Source organism: Homo sapiens, chromosome 16 (genome assembly GCF_000001405.40).
Source record: "Homo sapiens chromosome 16, GRCh38.p14 Primary Assembly".
Lineage (NCBI taxonomy): Eukaryota > Metazoa > Chordata > Mammalia > Primates > Hominidae > Homo > Homo sapiens.
The window spans coordinates 35,362,308-35,384,054 of NC_000016.10; the positions used below are offsets into that span (position 1 = coordinate 35,362,308).

The 21,747-nt window shown below is 40.0% G+C and overlaps 1 long non-coding RNA gene across 2 annotated transcripts in view; it reads left to right on the plus strand.

Annotated features, from left to right (window-relative positions):
• The first annotated feature begins 1,108 nt into the window (after nucleotides 1–1,108).
• LINC01566 (long intergenic non-protein coding RNA 1566) overlaps nucleotides 1,109–21,747 on the plus strand; it is a 28,298-nt gene continuing 7,659 nt past the window's right edge. The window contains exons 1-7 of one of the 2 annotated variants that reach the window (NR_027079.2): nucleotides 1,224–1,523; nucleotides 14,199–14,342; nucleotides 16,265–16,506; nucleotides 17,662–17,780; nucleotides 19,287–19,954; nucleotides 20,162–20,291; nucleotides 20,404–20,548. This is a non-coding gene — a long non-coding RNA (long intergenic non-protein coding RNA 1566). The other variant, NR_027080.2, reaches the window with a different exon arrangement.

The window sequence follows — 21,747 nt, forward strand, 5'->3', positions numbered from 1 at the left end:
AAACCATCTCTAATCTTGAAGGATTTTGTCACTCTCCATGGGGCCCTTCCTCTCCCACCCTTCTTTCTAATATACCTTGCTCCTCCATTTCAAAGACAGCTCTTTTCTGCCTAGTATTTTAGATGTTTGCAGATATTATGCTTGATGCTTCCACCATTGCAATACTTCTTTAGGTTAAAGTCTCTGAATTTATTTTATTTGAAAATATCTAGAAACAGCCCCAGGACAATAACAATTACACCCTCACAGAGAACATCTCAGTCGTCCTCCTATCTCACATGACACTGTATCTGCCTGTGGATCTCCACAGTTGAGAAGGTGATATACATTTTGGCCCAGCTCACAGGCACTATGATAAATCTTATACATGAGCCAAGCCAAAAGGAGAGATTTTGACTCTCATAGCTAGGCTTCAAGCAATGGGTAAAGTCCTGGATCTTCTACTTTTATGAAGGTCAAAGGATTATAAAACCCATGTGTGTTGAATATACCCCTTGAGTGGTACAGAGAGTGTCATAACAGGACCCAGTTCACAGGTGAGATATAGAGATCTGTATGGCCACAGAACCAAAAGTAGAAATTGTCACATGCCCACATGTACATAACCCACAACTGAGGTTCTAAGCTCACACCCATGGGCAGGGGGAAGTTGGAGTTGTGACTCTCACAGGTGGATCCAGTCCACAGGCGAAATGGTGACTCTCTCACCAAGATTCAGCACAGCATTGAGGCTGTGACTCCCTTACCAGGACATAGCTTGGAGAAGGGATTGGGGCTCTCATGTGAGGATGCAGTCCACTGTTGAGATTGTGACTCAAGTACTTGGACCCAACGCAACAGGAGTTCTACCTGGAGTGGAGAAATGTTTGGATTTGGAGGTCTCATTACTGGGCCTTCCCACAGGTATAATTGTGACATACAACTAGAACCTTAGTGATTTCACAGTGCTTCTGGGCTCAGCACAGATATATCTTGTGACTTATACCTGGAATAAACACCTAGGTGATGTGACTATTTTGCCTAGACACTTCCTTCAAAGGAATTGTGATGTATCTCTCTACTTTGCACCTAGGTGATATAAATCTTTTCCCCTACTTAGACCCTGCTCACAGGTAAGGTTATAACATATCACTAAGCCTGGTACTTAATGATGTGACTCTCTGATCCTGTTTGTGCCCTGCCCTCAAGAAGCATTGTGACATCACTGGGCTAAGCAACAAGGTAATCTTGCTTATGTGTGTCTTCTGTCTAGGCCATGTGCACAGGGGGCATTGAGAAATATCTCTGGACCAATCACCTAAAAGATGTGACTCTCCTCACTTGCCTGGACTCTGCTCAGAATAGAGATTTCGACACATCAGTGGGTTCAACACCTAGGTGATGCGGCTCTTCCTTCTTTTCTGGGCTCTTCCATCAGAGAAGATTGTGACATTTTCTGAGCCCAGCACTCAAGTGAGGTGACTTGTCTCCCTGGACTCTCCCCACAGACAGCATTGTGAAATATCTTTGGGATCATCACCTAGGTAATGTGAATCGCCTCTGCTTCATGGGCTTTGCACTCAAAAGGGCTTGTGATTTTCATGGGAAGCACCACCCAAGTGATTTGATTCTTTTGGATGGGGGGCTGGGATCTGCCAACAGGAATAATTTTTACATATTGCTTGGCTAAACCCCTAGTTAATAGGACTCTTATCTCCTACTTGGGCCCTCCCTGCAGTGTGTTTTGTGTCATATCTTTGGGCTGAGCACGGAGGAGTTGAGACACTCCTTCCTTGGCACTCCCCAAAGGGAATATTATTACATATCTTTGGGCCAGTCACATAGGTGATGTGACTCTCCTCTATTGCCTGGAAACTTTTTACAGTTGGGATTGTAACATATTGCTGGGTCCAGCACCAGGTGATGTTATTCTTATCCCAGGGCCCAGCCCACAGAAGAAATTGTGGCATATCTCTGGGCCCATCACCTAGGTGATGTGGTTCTGCTCTTCTGCCTGGACACTTTCCCCAAGAGTAATTGGGACATATTGTTGGGCCCAGCTCCCAGGTGATGTAACTATCCTGCCTTGGCTCTGTGCACAGGGGGGATTGTGACATATTTCTTGGCCAAGCAGCTGGGTGATATGACTCTCCTGAATGGGCCCTGCTCCCAGAGAGGATTGTGACCCATCACTGGGCCAATCATGTGGGTGATGTGTTTCTGCTCTGTTGCCTGGGCTCTGGCCAAAGTAAGAATTGTGACATATAGCTGACCCAGCACCCAGGTGATTAAACTTTTGTGACTGGTCCCTGCTCACAGGTAAAATTGTGACATATATATAGTCACAGGTTAAAAGTGAAATGATGACTGTCATACGTGGGATCCAGCTAAGAGAAGAGATTTTGACCCTCATAGCTAGGGTTAGGGCAACAGTCATGGTCCTTGGTCTCTTACTTTAACAAAGGTCATAGTGTATTATGACACCAAAGCACATTGTATAAAGCCCTCAGGTGGTACAGAGTGTGTCATAACAGGACCCACACAAAGGTGAGGCTGTGACTCTCATATGTACATCCAGCTGACAGAATTGTCATCCTCACACATGGCCAGTACTCAGTGGTGAGGTCCTAAATCTCATGTGCAAACGCAATACAGATTTGGAATTGTGACTGTCATACATAGATGCAGCCACAGGTGAGATAGTGACTCATTTTTGAACCCATCTCACAGGCACAGCAATAAAGCTTATACCTGGGCCCAGTCAACAAGAGAAATTCACAATCCTGGACATTTTCCAGCTAAAGGTATTAGAGTCAACCCGTCTTGTGGGTTGAGTCCAAGTATGCAAGTTAATCACAACAGTGGAGTAAATCAGTACACAAAAGCCCAAATCTCACCTGAAGACTATGTTTTAATAGGGAAATTACAGTCCCCAGGTGTTCTAAATCCTGGTCTTGGAGTTATCATCCCATCTGTGGATTGGATTGATTTATGAGGTTCACATTTCCAACTTTATGGCCTCTTGACATGTGATTCAGAACCTCAACAGTGGGCTTTGTTCATGTCGGAGGGTGACAATCCTTACTTGTGGCTGGGTGTGCATACAACTGCCACATTTTCACCTATGTGATGAACTACATTATGGCATTTTTTGTAGCACTTGATGGCTTTATACAATGTGCACGAAGGTCAAAACACTCCATGACCACCCTACAAGTTGAAGACCCAGGACCTTCATTTTTGCCATAAGACTAACTACAAGAGTCAAAATGTTTTCAGGTATGAGTCATCATCCCACCTGTAAGCTGTGCCTATGTATATTTCACAATTCCAATTGTGGAGAGAGACAAGGCACCAGAGTCACATCACCTGGATGCTGGCCACAGATATGTCACAATTCCCACTTTAGCCAGGATCTAGGCAGCAGAGGAGCCCCAACACCTAGGTGATTGGCCCAGTGAGAGGTCAAAATCCCCCCTTGGAGCAAGAGCAATTCAGGAGGGTCATATGACCTAGGTACTGGAAATAGCAATGTGTCAAAATGCCCTCTGTGGGCAGGGCCAAGGCAGGACAGTTACATAACCTGGGAGCTGGGCCTGGTGATACGTCGCAATGCCTCTTGGGGGCAGGTTCAGGCAGGAAGGCAGAGTTACATCACCTAGGTGATAGGCCCAGAGAGATTTCACAATACCTTCTCTAATTAGAACCCAGGCAGAGAAGTTACATCATTTGCATTAAGGGCCCAGTGATATGCCTGTCACAATCTCAACTAAAGGCAGGGCCTGGGCAGGAAAGAAGAGTCACTTCACTTTGAGGATTGCCCCAGAGATATACCATAATTTCCCCTGAGGGCAGGGCTCATGCTGAAGAGTCATATAAATAAAGTGCATGGTCCAGGTGTATGTGACAATCTCAACTGTACACTGGGCCCAGGCAAGAAAGTAAAATCAACCAGGTGCTGGGAAAGGGTATATATCACAATCACACCAGAAGAAAGTTTTCAGGATAAGATTCAAAATCCCACTAATGTCCCAGCTTCACTTATGACAGTCAACATATCTTGTGAGATGTGTTCAAGTACTCGAGTCACAACCTCAACAGTGGACTTGATCAGTGCATGAGAATCTGAACTCCTCTTGCAGACAGTGTCCCAGTAGGGGAGTAACAGCCTCACAGGCGTTCTGAATCTTGGTGTGAGAGTCACCATCCTACCTGTGGACTGCATCCATGTGTGAGAGTCACAGTTCTAACTTTTGACTGCCTCTGAATGTGAGATTCAGAATGTTGTAAGTAGGCTGGGTTTTTGTGGGAGGGTGAGAATTCACATATGTCAGCCAGGTGTGCATATGAGAGTCACAATCTCACCTGTTTGCTGGTTCCTGTTATGACAGTCTGTGCCACCTGATGGTTTTACATGGTATATGTGCACAATCTGCTTTGAGATTTTTGTGCCTTCCTAGGTATGTGTTACAACCTCAAATGTATAATTATGCCCACTGTCCTAAGACCAGGCATGACCGTCAACATCTCTCTTGTTTATTGGGTCCAGTTATGAAAACCATTTATGCCCCTGTGACCTGGGTACAGAAATGGGTCAACATCCCTCCTGTGGTTCAATCCACATGTGACAGGCACAATTCCAACAGTGGACTGTATATTTCGGTGAGGCTCAGGAACTCATTATTCTGCTCTGTCCATGTGTATGGGTGACAATTGTAACAGTCAGCTGGGTGTTCATACAATAGTCACAATCTCAGTGTTGTGCTGGGTACTATTAAGACATTCACTGTACCATCTGAGGGTTTTACACAATATGCGTGTGTGTGGTAATCACCTGTTATTATTATTTTTTTAAAGTAGAAAACTCAGGACTTTATTTTTTGGCTTAAGCCTAGCTGTGAGAGTCAACAGCTCTCTTATTGGCTGGGTGCAGGTATAAGAGTCATCACTGGGCCTGTAAGCTGGGTATAGATATGACTCACCATCTGATCTTTGGCCAGATTCACATTTGCCCATCAATATTCTAACTGTGTATTTTGTCCTCATATGAAAGTTAGGACCTCACCAGTAAGTTTGGTCAATTTGTGAGGGAAACAATGCTAATTGTCATCTGGGTGTGCCTATTGAATCACTATTTTACCTCTGTGCGGGGCCCTGATATGACACACTCTATATTATCCAAGGGCTTTATAAAATATGCATGAGTGTTGTAATGTTATGTGACCTTTCTACATGTAGAAGACCTGGATCCTTACTTGTTTCCCTCAGCCTAGCTATAAGAATCAAAATCTCTTCTATTGGCTGGGTCCACATATAAGAGAGTCTTCATTATACCTGTGGGCTGAACCTAATTATATGTGACAATCCCACCTGTGGGCAAAGACTAGGAGGGAGACTCACATCAACTAGGTGTTGGGCCGGTGATATGTCAATATTTTTCCTGTGGGTGGGGTCCTGGCAATAAAAATTGTATCTTCTGGGTGCTAGGCAAAACAATATGTCACAATCCACCCTGTAAACATGTTCCAGGAAGAAAACAGTCATGTCACCTAGGTGATGGTCCCAATGACATGTCATCATTCTTCCTGTAAACAAACTCAAGATAGAAAGAGTCACATAATGTAGGCGATGGGCCCAGTGATATCTCACAATGACTCCTGTGGTCTGGCCCAGGCAGAAAGGGAGAGTTACATTACCTAGGTTATTGGCCCAGAGATATGTTACTATTTCCCCGGATGGCAGAGTCCAGGCAGGAAAGTTGCATTATCTACGTGCTAAACCTAAGTATATTTTACAATCTAAATTGTAGGCTGGGCCTGAGCAAAGGTGTATGTCACAGTCACAGCTGTGTAAATGTCCAGAGATAAAATTTGCAATCTCTCGTATGCTCCAGCTTTGGATTCAGAGGCAATAGTTCCTGTGAGTTGCACCCAAAAGGCAGGTAACAACCTCAGCAGTAGACTAAGCCCATGCATGAGAGTCCCATCCCTGCCTGCACATAGTGTCCCAGTAAAAAATAAAAACATCACAAGGTGCTGAAACTTGGTCCAGAGTCGCCATCCTACCTGTGCATAGAATCCACATATGGCAGAAACAATGCAAACTTCTGACTGCCTCTAGATGTGAGATTCAGAACTTTAACAGTGGGCTGTGTTCATTTGGAACGTGACAATACTGTTGGCTGGGAGTGCATATAAGAGTAACAATCTCACCGGTATTTTGAGCCCTTTTATGATGCTCTCTGTACCACCCGAGGGAATTATAAAATAAGCCTAAGAGTCGCAACACTCTCTGAAACCTGCATGCTTGGGTGGACACACGATCTTACACATTGTTTTAAGCCCAGACAGGAGAGTCAACATCTCTCTTATTGGCTGTGTCCAGGAGTGAGATTCATCAATGTGCCTGTGAGTGGGCTCCAGAAATAAATCACCATCATACCTGTGGCCATCACAATGTCAATTGTGGACTGCATGCATGGAAGTTTTAGGACCTCAGCTGTGGGCACTGTCTGTGTATGAGGGTGACAATATTAAGTTTTGACTGGATGTGTATATGAAAGTAACAACCTCAACTATGTGCTGGGCCCTGTTTTTGCATATTCTTTACCACCTGAGGGAATTACACCATATGCTAGAATTTCATAGTCCTCTGTGACCTCTGTACAGGTAGGAAACTCAAAACCTTACCCATTGTCCTAAGGCTAGGTACGAGTTAATATATATCTTATTGGCTTGGTCTAAGTATGAGAATCAACACCATGCTTGTAAGCTGGATCCAGATATTAGTCATCATCCAGCCTGAGGGCAGATCCACATATGACAGTCACAGTTTCAACTCTGAACTTCATCCATGTGTGAGATTTAGAATCTCACTAGTGGACTCTGTCCATGTATGAAGGTGACAATCCTAATTGTTGGCTACATGTGTCTTTGAGAGTCACAGGCTCACCTGTTTGCTGGGCTGTGTAATGTGACTCTCTCTATACACCCCAAGGGCTTTATAAAATACATGTGAGTGTCATAATCTTCTGTGACCTTTTTACAATTAGTAGACCATGGACCTTAGTTGTTGCCCTAAGCCTAGCTGTTAGAGTCAAAATTTCTCCTATTGGCTTGGTCCATGTAAGAAAGTCATCATCATGACAGTTGCGTGGTCCAAGGTAAAGGTCACAACTTCACCTGTGAGCAGAACCAAGAAGGAAAGTCACATCACCTGAATGCTGGGCCATGGAAATGTCAATATCCCTCTATGGGCAGGACCCACACATAGAGGAGAAAGTCACATCACTTTTGTGCTAGGCTCAGTGATATGTCACAATGCCCACTGTATGCAGAACCCAGTCAAAAGAGTCACATCACCTAGGTGCTGGGCTGAGCAATGTGTCACAATCCCACCCATTCTCAGGGCCCAGTTATGAAAGGACAGTCATCCACCTAGGTAATATTCCCCTATTTCTGTTACTGGAGGCAGGACACAGGCAGGAAAGCAGAGTCTCATCGTCTAGGTGAAGGGCTCAGAGATACACTACAATATCCCTTGTGGCCAAGGCTCAGGGAGGACAGTCACATCATTTAGCTGTTTGGGTTAGGTATATGTCACAATCCCAACTATTGACAGGGCTTAGGCAGGGAGGTAAAGACAATCAGATTCTGAGAAAAAATTACATGTCAAAGTCACATGTGCAGGAAGGTCCTGGGATGAGATTCACAGCACCTCACATTTTCTGGCTCAAGGTATAAGAGACAACACCTGTGATTTGTGTTAAGGTACACAAATCACAATATCAGTGATAGACAGTATTCATACATGTAAGCTCCAACCTCAACTGCAATCACTGTCTAATTAGGGCAGTCACTGCCTCACAGGTATGCTGATGTTTAGTATAAAAGTCACCATTCCACCTGTGAACTGGTTCTATATATGAGAGTCACAATGTCAACTTTCAACTGATCTGGATGTGATATTCAGAATTTCCACAATGGACTGTGTCTATACGGGAAGATGACATACCTCAGTGTATGTTCTGGGTGCATAGAGCAATCACAATGTCACCTGCGTGCTGGGTGTTTATAAGATACCTTCTGTGCCACTTAAGAGCTTCGTATGGTCTGCATGAGAATGAAACCTGCTCTGAGACCTTAATGATGGTATAAACCCATGATCCTACATGTTGCCCTAAGTTCAGGTATGAGAGTCATCAATGTGCCTGTGATCTGGGTCCAGAAATGAGAAACCATCTCATTTGTGGATGGATCCAGATATGACAGTCACAATTCCAACTGTGAATTGTTTCTGTGAGTGAGAACCAGGACCTCATGAGTGGGTTCTGTTCACCTTTAATCCTAACTTGGGCTGTGTGCATACAAAAGTCCCAATAAGGATTTTGAGCTGGGCTCTCTTTTAATACTCTCTGTACCACCTTAGGGCATTATACAATATGCATGAGTGTTGTAATTCTTTGAGACGTCTGTAAAAGTAGGAAGCCAAGGATCTTATCTCTTGCAGTAGGCCTAGATACAAGAGTCAACATGTCTTCTATTTCCTGGGACCAGGCATGAGAGACATTGACATGCCTATGAGCTGGGTCCAGAAATGAGTCACCTTCCAACATCTGTTATATGTGCCAGATACACATATGACAGTCCCAATTCTAACTCTGGACTGTTTGCACATGTGAGATTTACAACCTCACCAGTGGGCTTTGTCCATGTGTGAGACTGACAATCCCAATTTTTGGATAGTGTGCCTATGAGAGGCAAAATTTTACTTCTGTAATGGACTCTGATAAGTCCCAAGTATTTTACAAAATAGTCATAAGTGTTATAATCATCTGTAATTTTTATAAAATTAGGAGACTGAGAACCTTACTGATTATTCTAACCTTAGCTATGAGAGTGAAAATCTCCCTACTGGCTGGGCCATCATATGACAGTCATCATTATTCCTGTGTCCTGAACCTAGTTATATGTCACAATTCTACCTGTGGGCAGAACCAGGCAGAAGAGTCACATCACCTGAATACTGAGCCAGATATATATTAGTATCCCTCCTGTGAGTTGAGTGCTGGTAAAAATTTCATGTCACTATGGTGCTGGGAGCAGTGATGTGTCACAATGTCTTCTGTGGGCAGAACCCATGCTGAAGAATTACATTGTGTGAGGGCTGAACTCAGCAAAATGTTACAATCCCCTTTGGGAATGGGGCCCAGGGAGGAGAGGACAATTACATCACCTGGAAATGAGACCAGAGATGTATCACCTGGAAATGAGACCAGAGATATATCACAATGCCATCTGTGAGAAGGGACTAGGCAGGAGGGCCACATTATCAAGGTTATTGACTTAGGTCTATGTCACAATCAAACTATCAAACTGTGGGCTTTCTTCGGGCAGTATATTCAAATCAGTCAAGTTCTGGCTGGGCAAAAATATATGTCACAGTCACACCTGTGGGAAGGTCTGAGAATGGAATTTACATTCCTGCACATGTTCTGGGTCCAGGTATTGAAAAGTATGCACCTAATAAACTTTTACACACCTCGTGTGTCCAAGTATGCAAGTCATAATTTCAACAGTAATTTGGATCCATGCATGAAAGCCTCAACCTCAGACAACTAACATATTTGCTCAATTTTGGTCACAGACTCATCATCTCACCTGAAGGCTGAATACACATATAAGGGTAATAATAACCACTTTTGACTGCCTTTGCTGGTGAAATTCACAACTTCAACAGTGGGCTGTGTCTATGTGGGAGTGTGAAAATCTTTACTGTTGGCAGTGTATGCAATGAGAGTAAAGCCTCAACACTGTGCTGGGCAACACAGGGAGACCCTGTCTCTACAAAATGTAAAATAAAAAAATTTAGCTGGGCATGCCTGTGTTCTAGCTACTCAAGAGGCTGAGGTGGGAGGATTTCTTGAGCCTGGGAGATCAGGCTGTGGTTAGCCATGATTGAGCCACTGTGCTTCAGCCTGAGCAACAGAGCAAAACCCTGTCTCAAAAAAAAAAGATTATAATATTACAAACTATCATTTTTTATTAAAAGGGAATAAAATTAGAAATCAAGAGCAGAAAAAATACTGAAATATCTACAAATATGTGGAAATTAAACAACACACTCTTGAGCATGCTTTTCTTCAAGGGTTGGAAAACAATATTGTGAAGATGTCCACACTACCCAAAGTGATCTACAGATTCAATGTGATCTCCATCAAGTATTAACTGTCATTTCATTTTGCAGAAACACAAAAACATTTCTAAAACTCATATGGACTCTAAAGGGTTTATAAAAAGCCAAACAGTATGTATATAAAATTTGTTTTTTTTTTTTTTGAGATGAAGTCTCACTCTGTTACCCAGGCTGGAGTGCAGTGGCATGATCTTGGCTCACTGCAACCTCTGCCTCCTGGGTTCAAGAGATTCTCCTGCCTCAGCCTCCCAAGTAGCTGAGAACACAAGTGCCAATCACCATGCCCAACTAATTTTTGTATGTTAGTAGAGACAGGATTTCACCATGTTGGCTAGGCTGATCTCGAACTCCTGACCTCTTGATCTGCCAGTCTTGGTCTCCCAAAGTGCTGGGATTACAGGTGTGAGCCCCTGCGCCTGGCCGCGAACATATTTAATATTATTTAACTATGCGCTCAAAATAGTTAAGATGGTAATTTTTATGTGTTTTTGACTACCTTAAAAATGAGAAACCTTCTAAAGAGATACATATTTATAAACATTTCCAAAAATTACCTTCAATTCATAAAAATGACAGAAAAACAATAAGGAGGCCAGGTGCAGTGGCTCATCCATGTAATCCAAACACATCAGGAGACTGAGGAGGGAGAATAGCTTGAGGCCAAAAGTTGGAGACCAGCCTGGGCAATATAATAACCCCTCAACTACAAATCACAAGCAGAAGGAAACTGGTAAATCAAAAAATGTATGAAACTTAAAGCATCCTACTCTTGACCTCATGTTCAAGGCTCAGAAATTTTAATATTGTTAAGATGTCAATACTACTCACAGTGAAGCACGAATTCAAAGTATTTCCTATTAAGATCCAAATGTTATATTTTTTGCACACATATTATTTTAAGTCCTAAAACTCATATAAAATTTCAAGGCCTGCCTGGCAGGAATGCTGACTTTTTTTGCAAAAATATTAATTTCTATAATTCATATGGAATATCAAGGGATTATGAGTAGCCAAAATAGCTTCAGAGAAGAACAAAGTTAGAGTTATCAAACTTCCTGACTCCAAAACATATTATAGAACTATAGAAATAAAAATAGAGAGACAAATAGATGATGGTACAGAATAGAGAACCGAGATATAAACCTTCATGAATATCATCAAGTAATCTTCAATCAAGTTGCCATGACTGAACAACGGGGAAAGAAGAGACTTTTTAACAAATAGCATTACAAAACTGAATATCAAAATTAAAGAAAATAAAATTGGACTTTTCACTTGCACCATTTACAAAAATGTCTTAAGTTAATTAAACACTTAAATGTTAGATAGCTATAAAACTCTTAAAATAAAATATAGGGTGACAAATCATGACATGTGTCTTGGTAATTTCTTTTGAATATGATATTAAAAGCAGAAGAAACAAGAATAAATACAGAAAAATGGGACTACATCAAGTGCAAAAAGCTTTTGGATATCAAAGAAAACATTTAGAGGAGTAAAAATGTCACCGAAGAAATGAGAAAAAAATTGCAAATAATATATTTGATAGAGGTTAGTATCTAGAATGTATAAACAATTTCTAAAACTCAACAACAAAAAGCAAATGATCCTATTTAAAAATGGGCAAAACACTCAAAAGATGTTTTTACAAAGCAGATATGCAAATAGCCAAGAGGAATTTGAAAAGATGCTCAAAATACAAATCTTTAGTGAAATACAAGGCAAAACCCAAATGAGATATTACCTCACACTCATTAAGATGGCCACTATCAAACAAGAAAAAAAAATCAAATGTTTTCAGGGATGTAGAGAAATTGGAACACTGTGCACTGGTGGTGGGAAAAATAATAAGGCAACCATTTTGAAAAATAGTAAAGAGTTTCCTCAGAATATTAAAAATGAAATTATCATACAATCTGGCAATCCCATTTCTGGGATATCTATCTAAATGTGCAAAGCAGGACCTGAAAGAAATATTTGCACAACCATGTTTATAATAGAATTATTCCCAAAATCCAAAAGGTAGAAGCTAGTTAAATGACCCTTGACAGATAAATAAGTAAAGAAAATATGATATATACATATGATGAAATATAATTTAAAAGGAAATCCTATCACACGCTACAGTAACAATAAACCATTAGGACATTATGTTAAGTGAAATATGTCAGGGAACAAAGTGACAGTGAGTGTATGATTCCACTTATGAGAAATCTTAAGTAGTCCAACTCATAGAAAGAGAAAATAGCATGTATTTGTCAAGGGCTCAGGAGAAGGTTAAAATGGGCAGTTGTTTTTTAATGGGTATTGAGTTTTAGTTTTGCAATGGAAAACTCTAGAAGCCTGTTGCATTACAATGTGGATATATGTAATACTACTAAATTATGCAATTAAACACATATAAAATTGTAAATTTTGTTATGTGTTTTTATTACAATTAAAATATTGTAAAGTGATACATAAAAGAGATACAGAGTTATAAAGTTTTCAGAAAAAATACCTTCAAATTACAAAAGTGTTTTCCTTACAAAACATAATATAGACTTGCCAATAAATACGAGGGTAAATTAAGACTATTTACGTGACTACTCTCCTGAAAAAGACCAAATGGAATTATTTTACAAAGGCAATGTTGACTTATCCAATAATCAATCAATACATTACACAAAGTAATAGGATAAAGGAAAGTAACAGCAAGATCCCTTCAACAGACACAGAGAGCATTTGACCAATCCAATATTTATCCACAATTAATCTCCCTGGAAAGGAGGAGTATAAGCAAACTTCCTAGATCTGCTAAAGGGCATCAATGTCTGTCAAAGGCCTGGAGTGGACAGAACACAACTGACAAAATGCTCAGAACCTTAGGGACATGCCCAGCGCCACTTGTTTAACTTAAAAACAAGGCTGAAGTGAGAGCTGGTTGGTGACTAGGCTGGAGAAATGTACGGAGGAGTGAAGACTCTCTGAGGGCCTTTGGATATTTCTGAAGGTTTTTTTTGGAGTTGATGAGCTGATGTCCCATCAGTATTGAGGATATTAATAAAAACACCAAGAATATTAATAATACCAATAACAATTCATGCCAATGGCCCAGCATATGCCAGGACTTACATTCATTTCATGAGCATGACTCTGTTGAATCATCAGGACAAATCTATGAGGTGGGTGCCCTTATTCCCACTGCACCAGAGACTGACCTCATCCAGGCCAAATGCAGCAATTCTCCATCTCACACACACATGGTGTGATGCAAAGCCCCACCAACCTCATCACCACACTTGCGTTCCTACAGCATCACACCTCTTCCAATTTGGGAATTTCCATGCTCCGGGTCTGGATGTCAGTGCTAAAATGATCCGGCAAGAGGTGTGTCAGTACTTCTAAGGATGCCCAGGCTCCACCAAATTTCCTGACTGATGCTCTTAGGAAAATACTATATCACTTGAATGTTCTCTGAAAGCCTGTTCTCCTGTTCCTTCCTATCTCAGTAAAGGGCCCCACCATATCTCTGGAAATTCTCCTGACTTGACTTACATGTAGCAATAGTCTTGAAGACTCTTTTCTGTTGCATGCAACAAACCAACATTTCCTATAGCCTTGGGGTCAAATGTATCCCCAGAATAGAATGTATCCACCTACTTCATTGTGATTTCACCCAGTCTAAGCCACTGTCATTTTCATCTGCTGCTTGTTTCCATATTTGCCCTCTTTAGAATTAATTCTTCATAAAGTGACTGGAAAAAGCTTTTAAACATATGAATCTGATTGTGCCTCTTGCTTAAAACCCTCCAATAACTTCTCACCTCATGGGGAATGAAATCACAGTCAAGTTTACATATCTCACAGGAACTCTGAAACTTCACCTCCTCCCCTTGCTTTCCTTACACCCTTCCCTCTGCCACTGGTCTCTGGTTTTTCAAACTCACCCTCTTCGCTCCCATTTCAGGATAATTGCTCAATAGAATCCTCTGCCTGGAATTTTCTTCCTCAGACTCTTTGCATGTCATTCCCTCTACTGCTAGGTTACTGGGATCTCAATGTAGATGTTATGTCCAGACAGAGGCTGCTGTGAGCTGAATCGTCTGCTTCCCAAAATTCCTATGTTGACACCTTAACCCCCAGCACCTAAGAATGTGACTATATTTGGAGATAGCATCATCACAGAGGTAATTACCTTAAAATGAGGTCTTTGGGAGCAGAGGTTAAGGAGTAGGGAGATGGTCGAATTATACAAAATTTCAGTTAGACAGGAGGAATAAGTGCAAGAGATCTATTGCACTTGGTGACTACAGTTAATGTAATCTGTTCTTGAACATTGCTAGGACAGTAGATTTTGAGTATTCTCACAACAAAAAAAGATGGGTTTGTGAGGTAATGCATATGCCAGTTATCTTGGGTTAACCATTCCATAATGTGTGCATATTTCACAACAGTACCATAAGTGTAGGCAATTTTTATCAGTTACAAAAAAAAATTTTAAATGAGGACCTTAGGGAGAACCCTAATCCAATGTAACTGTTGTCTCCACAAAGGAGGAGATAAAGATACAAACGTGCACACACAGAGAAATGGCCACATGAGGACATAAGGAGAAGGCGGCCACTTACAACCCCAGGAGAGAGGCCTCAGAGAAAAACCACCTTGCCCACATCTTGATCTTGGACTTCATTCTCCTTCATCAAATGGAGGCTTCTGATCCTGAATACTTTCCAAAAACTAGAAAGTACAGTGGTGAGGAGGCAGCACAGAACTCAGGGTGAAAAGTTTAGAGAGAATAACACCTCCCCATTGCCCTGTCCTATCCCCAAAACACACCTGTGCCAGCCTTTATTGGTTTTTTGCATTCCCCTGTCCTGGGGATAGTGTAACTTGTTGATTTGTGTTTACATAGATGATAACGTAAAACAAAGGTAAACAATAAAATAAAAACAAACAGCACAACTCAAATAATAGTGTTTGGGCGGGGTGACAGTGAGGGAAAAAGGCCACATAACAATGGAGATGGAGCTTTTTGAACTAAATCAATGTCTTGTTTTGTTTCTACATCAGAATCTATAGTAGCAATTGTCAGGTTAGGTGTTTTTGTCCTTATCTGCCCCATAAGTGCCAGAGGGGATTACTCTAAACTGGGTGAGAAACAAGTCAAGGAGTGTGAGACAAACTTCCCTGCCATTTGCCACAGTGGCAGGGCAGAATTCATCATGAGTGCCTCTACCCTCTGATGTCCAAAAAGTTTAACTCTGTAGGTGATGTTTATTGGCTGCCAATTTAGAAGCATCTGCCTTCATGCTCCCGTCTAGAATGGTAACATATCTCTGCCAGTAGCTGATAAAATCCCCAACATCCCATAGTCCTGTTTTCCAGTTAAGACTCACTGGAACTATGTGGGCAGATTTACATAGTTCAATTCTTCTAGCAGCCAAGGAATACTTGATATTGTTTTCATCTGAAGCCTCTGAGAGAGGGAGTCAGCCTCCACCTTAGAACTTTTGACACATAGTCTTCCTAACACTACTATTTACACTGATTTGAAAGTCATTGATGAGCTTGCTTTGAAGCTCCTGTCAAACTTAATCCTGACACATCAAGGGCTTGGGACTTCCCAGCTTGACATTCCAATTTTGAAGTGAGTAAATTTGAGTTCTCCAAGACATCAGAATCCCACTTAGAATGTAACATATTCTAAAAGAAAATTGGACTGTCACAGGAATATCTTAGCTGTAACAGAAAAATTAGGTTCTTTGGTGAAAATTTTATGCCCTCTGATACAGTTTGGCTGTTTTCCACCCAAATTGCATGTTGAGTTTTAGCTCCCATAATTCCCAAGTGTTGTGGGAGGGACCTGGTAGGAAATAATTGAATCATGGGGGTGGTTTTCCCCATACTTTTCTGGTGGTAGTGAATAAGTCTCACAAGATCTGATGGTTTTATAAGGAAAAACCATTTTTGCTTTGCTTTACTCTCATTCTCTTTTCTCACGTTTGCCACCATGTGAGACATGCCTTTTACCTTCTGCCATAATTGTGAGATCTCCCCAGCACGTAGAACCGTGGGTTCATTAAACCTCTTTCTTTTGTAAATTGCCCAGTCTCAGGGATGTCTTTATCAGCAGTATGAAAATGAACCAATTCATCCCACTTCACTGTTTGAAGAAAAACTGCTGGCTCTATGGGGTCTTCAATTTACTGAATGATTCCTAGATGCCTGGCCCTAATTCACTCAAGAGTCAAGAAAGGTGCCACCTTATGGTGCTCACTGGGCGGTTGTGGATGTCTAACCTCAGTGCTAGTCACACAGAACCTGAAGCCAGGCTGGCTGCTCCTGTAAATGGTAAGAGCTCAGGGTTTTGGATCACTGGCCATGTTTTAACTGTTTAATCTTCCACATTGAAACTAAAGGCTATTTGGTAAAGGATATCTTTTTGTTGGGTTCACACCAGAATTTTATCTGCTGATCTGTCAGGTCCTTCATTTAGGAGTCCATAATAAGGATCTGTTCTCTGAAAATAGTTACCACAATTAAGCCCAAAACCAAGCCTGAATCCACGTGTAATGCAGAGGTCATCACTGCATGCCAGATTTGTGCTTCTTGGTGAAAGGTGACCTATTTGTCCGATGGTTTAGAAGGCCCCAGACCATTCCTGGCATGATAACTGCATCAGCCTTTGACCCACTTCTTGAGGTATCAATCATGTCTCACTTTAGCATAATAATCAGGTGACTCCAGCCACACCATGTGTCAGTTGAAGCTCATTCGTGTAACCTTTAGGGTTTTGAGACCACTTGCATTTTAATCACATTGTGGCTTTTATCACTATATTTATCAACATAGCAAACTGTTTGATTTTACTTATTTTTTTCCTCTGGGTCCACACATATATAATTTGTAAATTGAACGTGACTTTCCCCTAAACAACCCAAAATCCCTTCTTTACTGACTCTAAGATTAAGAGAACTTCCCTGAAGTCTATAGGCATCCATTTTCAAACTCTGAGATTTCTCACTGATCATTCCTGGGCAAGATGGGTCTTTCTTTTCCTTAGCTGCAACCCCAGGCAAATCTGGTTTCTACATTCTCTGAATTACAGTCCAGCCCAAAAAGGGTTGTGTTCTATATAAAAGTGAACTTTTATATAGAAGTTCTTGTGTCCATATCATCTCGCTATACTAGAAAAAAATGACTAGAAGACAGTACGGGTGACTAGACTAGAAAAAATGACTACATAAAGTTATAGGTACAAGCATAGGAGACAAAAATTCTGTGGATGTAGAGGGAGGACAAAAACTGAAAACCTAAAAATGAACAAATTATACCCCAGAAACTACAGAAATAGAGAGGCATTAATAACTTTTTGTCTTTCTGAACTATCCCTAGTGAGGCCCAGAGAAGAGTTGGGGAATCCTGTTGGGCCAGGTAGTGGAGTAGTATTAGTTAGACCAAATGGTACAACAGGACCTGTGGTATTAGCTTCTCTCTGTGATATAGGCATGGAATCCCAGGGAATATCCTGCATTCTCAGTGTCCAGCTGTCTGATGCCACAGTTGTTTATGATGATCGAGGACAACTACGTTTTTCTGAGGAGACTTACCACCTCATGGCTGAGGTAAGCTGGATTCTATAGAACATTGATTCTATTTTCTCCTTCCTATGTGAGCTGGGGTTACTTCTTTAGTTTTTCCTCTAAAGATGAAATTATATTTGTCAATAATTGTGTAAAATAGAGACATAAGTCTGGGAAGTAGACACTTAGATACAACCCTCAGCAGAAATTTTAGCCTGTTTCTCTTCTCATTTTTATTCATTTGACACAGAGAGATGCCCTGACATGTGGTCTCTCAAGAGTAATTAGAACATTGTACTTCTAGAAAAGCTGATGGGACAGGGCAGGGCTTTGAGTGAGGATCCAAGCTTCTGTCCAAATCTCCCAGTCTCTCTGTATGTGGTAGGTGGAGTCAGGAAATATCCTAGAGTTCTGTTAGATATTATTAAGAGAAAACAAAATTTCTGTAAATTAGAGTACTAGGGAACATGTTCATCAGTCATCTTCAGAGTCAGATGTTCAGGGTTGAGCCTGTGTGGGAGAGCACAGAGCAATGTATGCCTAGCAAAGCCTCTGATCATGTGTGAATGGTGAGGCTCTGGTTCAGGGAGAAGTCCTGTATCTGACAGAACATGATGGTTCTGTGCATGTGAGACTCAGTGCCCTTCCTCAGCAGAGCAACACTGAGTAAATAAGTGTTTTAGGATCAAGCATATGAAGGCCAATTTTATTTTGAATTTATCAAAGACAGAAACAGGAAAAATTTTTATACACTTTCAAATTGAGTAAGAGCATCAGAAACTTCAGTAAAAAAGGCACAGGAGGAATCTCTGGTTTCTTATTCATCCCCAGAAACCACAAAAATCCTGATACAACCTTTAATAATTTACCTTGTAAAAACTTGATTTTTTCATTGTATAGATTTATCTTTCATTTGACCTTTATTTTACTGCAGGTTATAATTAGCACGTTATTTTTTACCTTTATGATAGAAACATCAGATTCCTAAACCCAAAGCATTAATGATGTCTACCCAACTGTAGTTTGTATTGCCAGTTGACTTTTTTGCTATCCTCTGAGTTTGTGTCTCCTTGTAAAAACTCATTTGTAAAAACTTAATCATTAATATGATAGTTTTAAAACATGGAGCCTTGTGGGAAGTGACTCACTCAGGAGGGCTTCATCCTCATAAATGTAATTAATACCCTGTAATAGAGGTTGAAGGGAGCACTTTTGTCCTTGCCACCATGTGAGGCACAGCAAGAAGGCACCATTTATGAGAAACAGGATCCTCACCAGACCCTGAATTTGCTGGTGCTTTGATCTTGAACTTTACAGCCTCCAGAACTGTGACCAATATATTTCTGTTATTTATACATTAGCCAGTCTAATGTATTTTATTTAACAGCCTGAACAGAGACACTTTCTCATACACTGTGGTTTATTTTAAATTTGTACTTCCACTGAGCTATCCATATATTCATAAATCAGCATGTCTCATAGGGTGGCATAGCCACTCTACTTTTTCAGAGTTTTCTCAGCTGTTCTCACTTATGTTTCCATCTATAGGAGTCTTGCAATAAAGTGGCTGCTTCCAATACCAGATGGTATCTCTACTGGGACAAAATTAAATTTCTGAATTACTTTGAAGAAAAATGATGATTGAGTGATATTGAGCATTTCTACCTTAGAACATGATTTGGTTTTCCATTTGTTTATGCTGATTTTCTTATATTTCAAGGACTTTTTATGGTCTTTCTCATATGCTTAACAAATGTTTGTTAGATTTATGTATAGCTAGTTTATTTTATTTAGTCCTGTTAAAAAGTAAACTGTAGCACAATACAAATTTTAAAAGTTTTCTTGGCTGGGAATGGTGGCTCATATCTGTGATTCCAGCACTTTGAGAGGCCAGGTTGAGGGGATTACTTGAGCCCAGAAGTTTGAGGCCAGCCTGGGAAATATAGTGAGACCCTGTCTCTACAAAATACAAGAAGAAATTAGCCAAGTGTGGTGGTGCATGCCTGTAGTTGCAGCTACTCATGGGGCTAAGGTGGGAGGATGGCTTGAGCTCAGGATGTAAGGCTGCAGAGAGCTTTGATTCTGTGTACACACTCCAGCATGGACAATAGAGCAAGAACCCGTTTTAAAAATATTTTCTTGAGAAAGAAGCAACTTATGAATTGTGGAACACCAGAGCAAGAGAGGCTTTCCACTTCAACGGCAAAGTGTCAGAGGTATGATTGTATTGAACAAATGCAGGAACAAAATATTAAAATTATGTGATTTGTTGCAGTTATAAAATTGTATTTTTTGGTTTACCTTATAGACATATATTACTATAAGATTCTTGGTACTTTTGATAATTTAAGCTTAAGTTCTTTTTTTTTTTAATGCAGGCATTCACAAAAAATAGCTCACGTTATGTTTTGCTTATTTGCAAGTCAACAAGATGAGGTCCCTGAGGATGTCTAACTGATTCTGTCCACTCGGGAATGTTTCGGACTTGGTCTTCCTTTTAATTTACTTTATAAATCATTTTGTAATTTTTATCTCCTACTCATTCTGTAACAGGTCAGTTACTTTTATAAATATGTAAATATCCTTTATGTATGATTTCTAAATCACTAGTGAACACTGTTACACAGGCATACCTAGTCTTATGGCATTTTATTGTTCTTTATAGATATTGGATTTCTTACAAGTTGAAGGCTTTTTGCAACCCTATATTGAGTGACTCTGTTAACACTATTTTTCCAACATCATGTGACCTTTGTGTGTGTTTACATCTGTGTCAGCTTTTTTTTGCAATAAAGTATATTTTTATTAAGGTTTGTACATTGTTATTACAAACATAGGCTATTTCAGTCTTATTCTACAGTATAGTGTAAACATCACTTTCATATGCACTGGGAAAGAAGAAAAATTGCATGACTCACATTGTTGTGATATTTGTTTTATTATACTTGTTTAGAGCAAAAGCCATATATCTCCAAGGTATATCTGTATATTTTCATTGAATTGGCTCCATTTACTGGAATGATAAATCACTATTCTTTGATTAAAACAAGAGTTGTGGAGTGTGAGGGGTCAGGGTGAAAATAAATCAGAAGTGAAGGTAATAAAATGTCCTCCAACTCACACATGGAGTAAATAAAAATTCAGTGTGGATGAAATACAAAATTATCTAAAATTGAATATTCTCAAAAACATTAATCTTTATATCATCTTGTATACGAAAATTATGAGGCAGAGAACAACAAAAAAATACATTTTATGATGAAAGATTTCATAATCTCACTGTAAAATGCAAGAAGAAAAATATAAAATGTAACCACAGGTAAAATAAATGACAATATTTATATTACATTTAATATCCTATAATACAGTATGATCAACTGAAATGCATAAAATAGAATAAAGTTTAAATTTCAAAAATTTAAAATGAGGGAAATATGAGTCAAGAGAAGAATAAATAATTATGATCAATTACATTTAACATATCTTGACTTCAATTTTATGTAAAAATATTCATAGTAAACACCTTGTGTGGTGATTTCACCATAATTTTATTAAACTGTAAAAATATATTGACATTTTTCCCATGAAGAGTATTTTAAGTGTTTGTGGATATTAGTGTTCTTGGGTTCAGTGTGGGCGAGTGAGAGGTTACAAACTTTTCTGAATTAAAAAAGAAGCACATAATTTTATATTTATTTTGTTATAATTGAAAATATGAAAAGGTATATGAATAATTACATCCTCATATTTGTCTGATTATATAGAAATGCATGACTGTCATGAGACATCCAATAGACATCAAATGTCTAACAAGAGATATATAATTTGTTTATAATCTTAGCCGTCTACAAATTGCAGAGTTCACTGTTTTGAGTACATTGTTCAAGCTCCTTTCCTAGGACTGCTTCAGGGTCTTTCATTTATTAATACTGTGCATCTAAAATTGTCACTGCTGGTACTTTGGAAGAATCTGAGAAGTAGCAGTTTCTTGCTCTCATTCCAAGAGTGT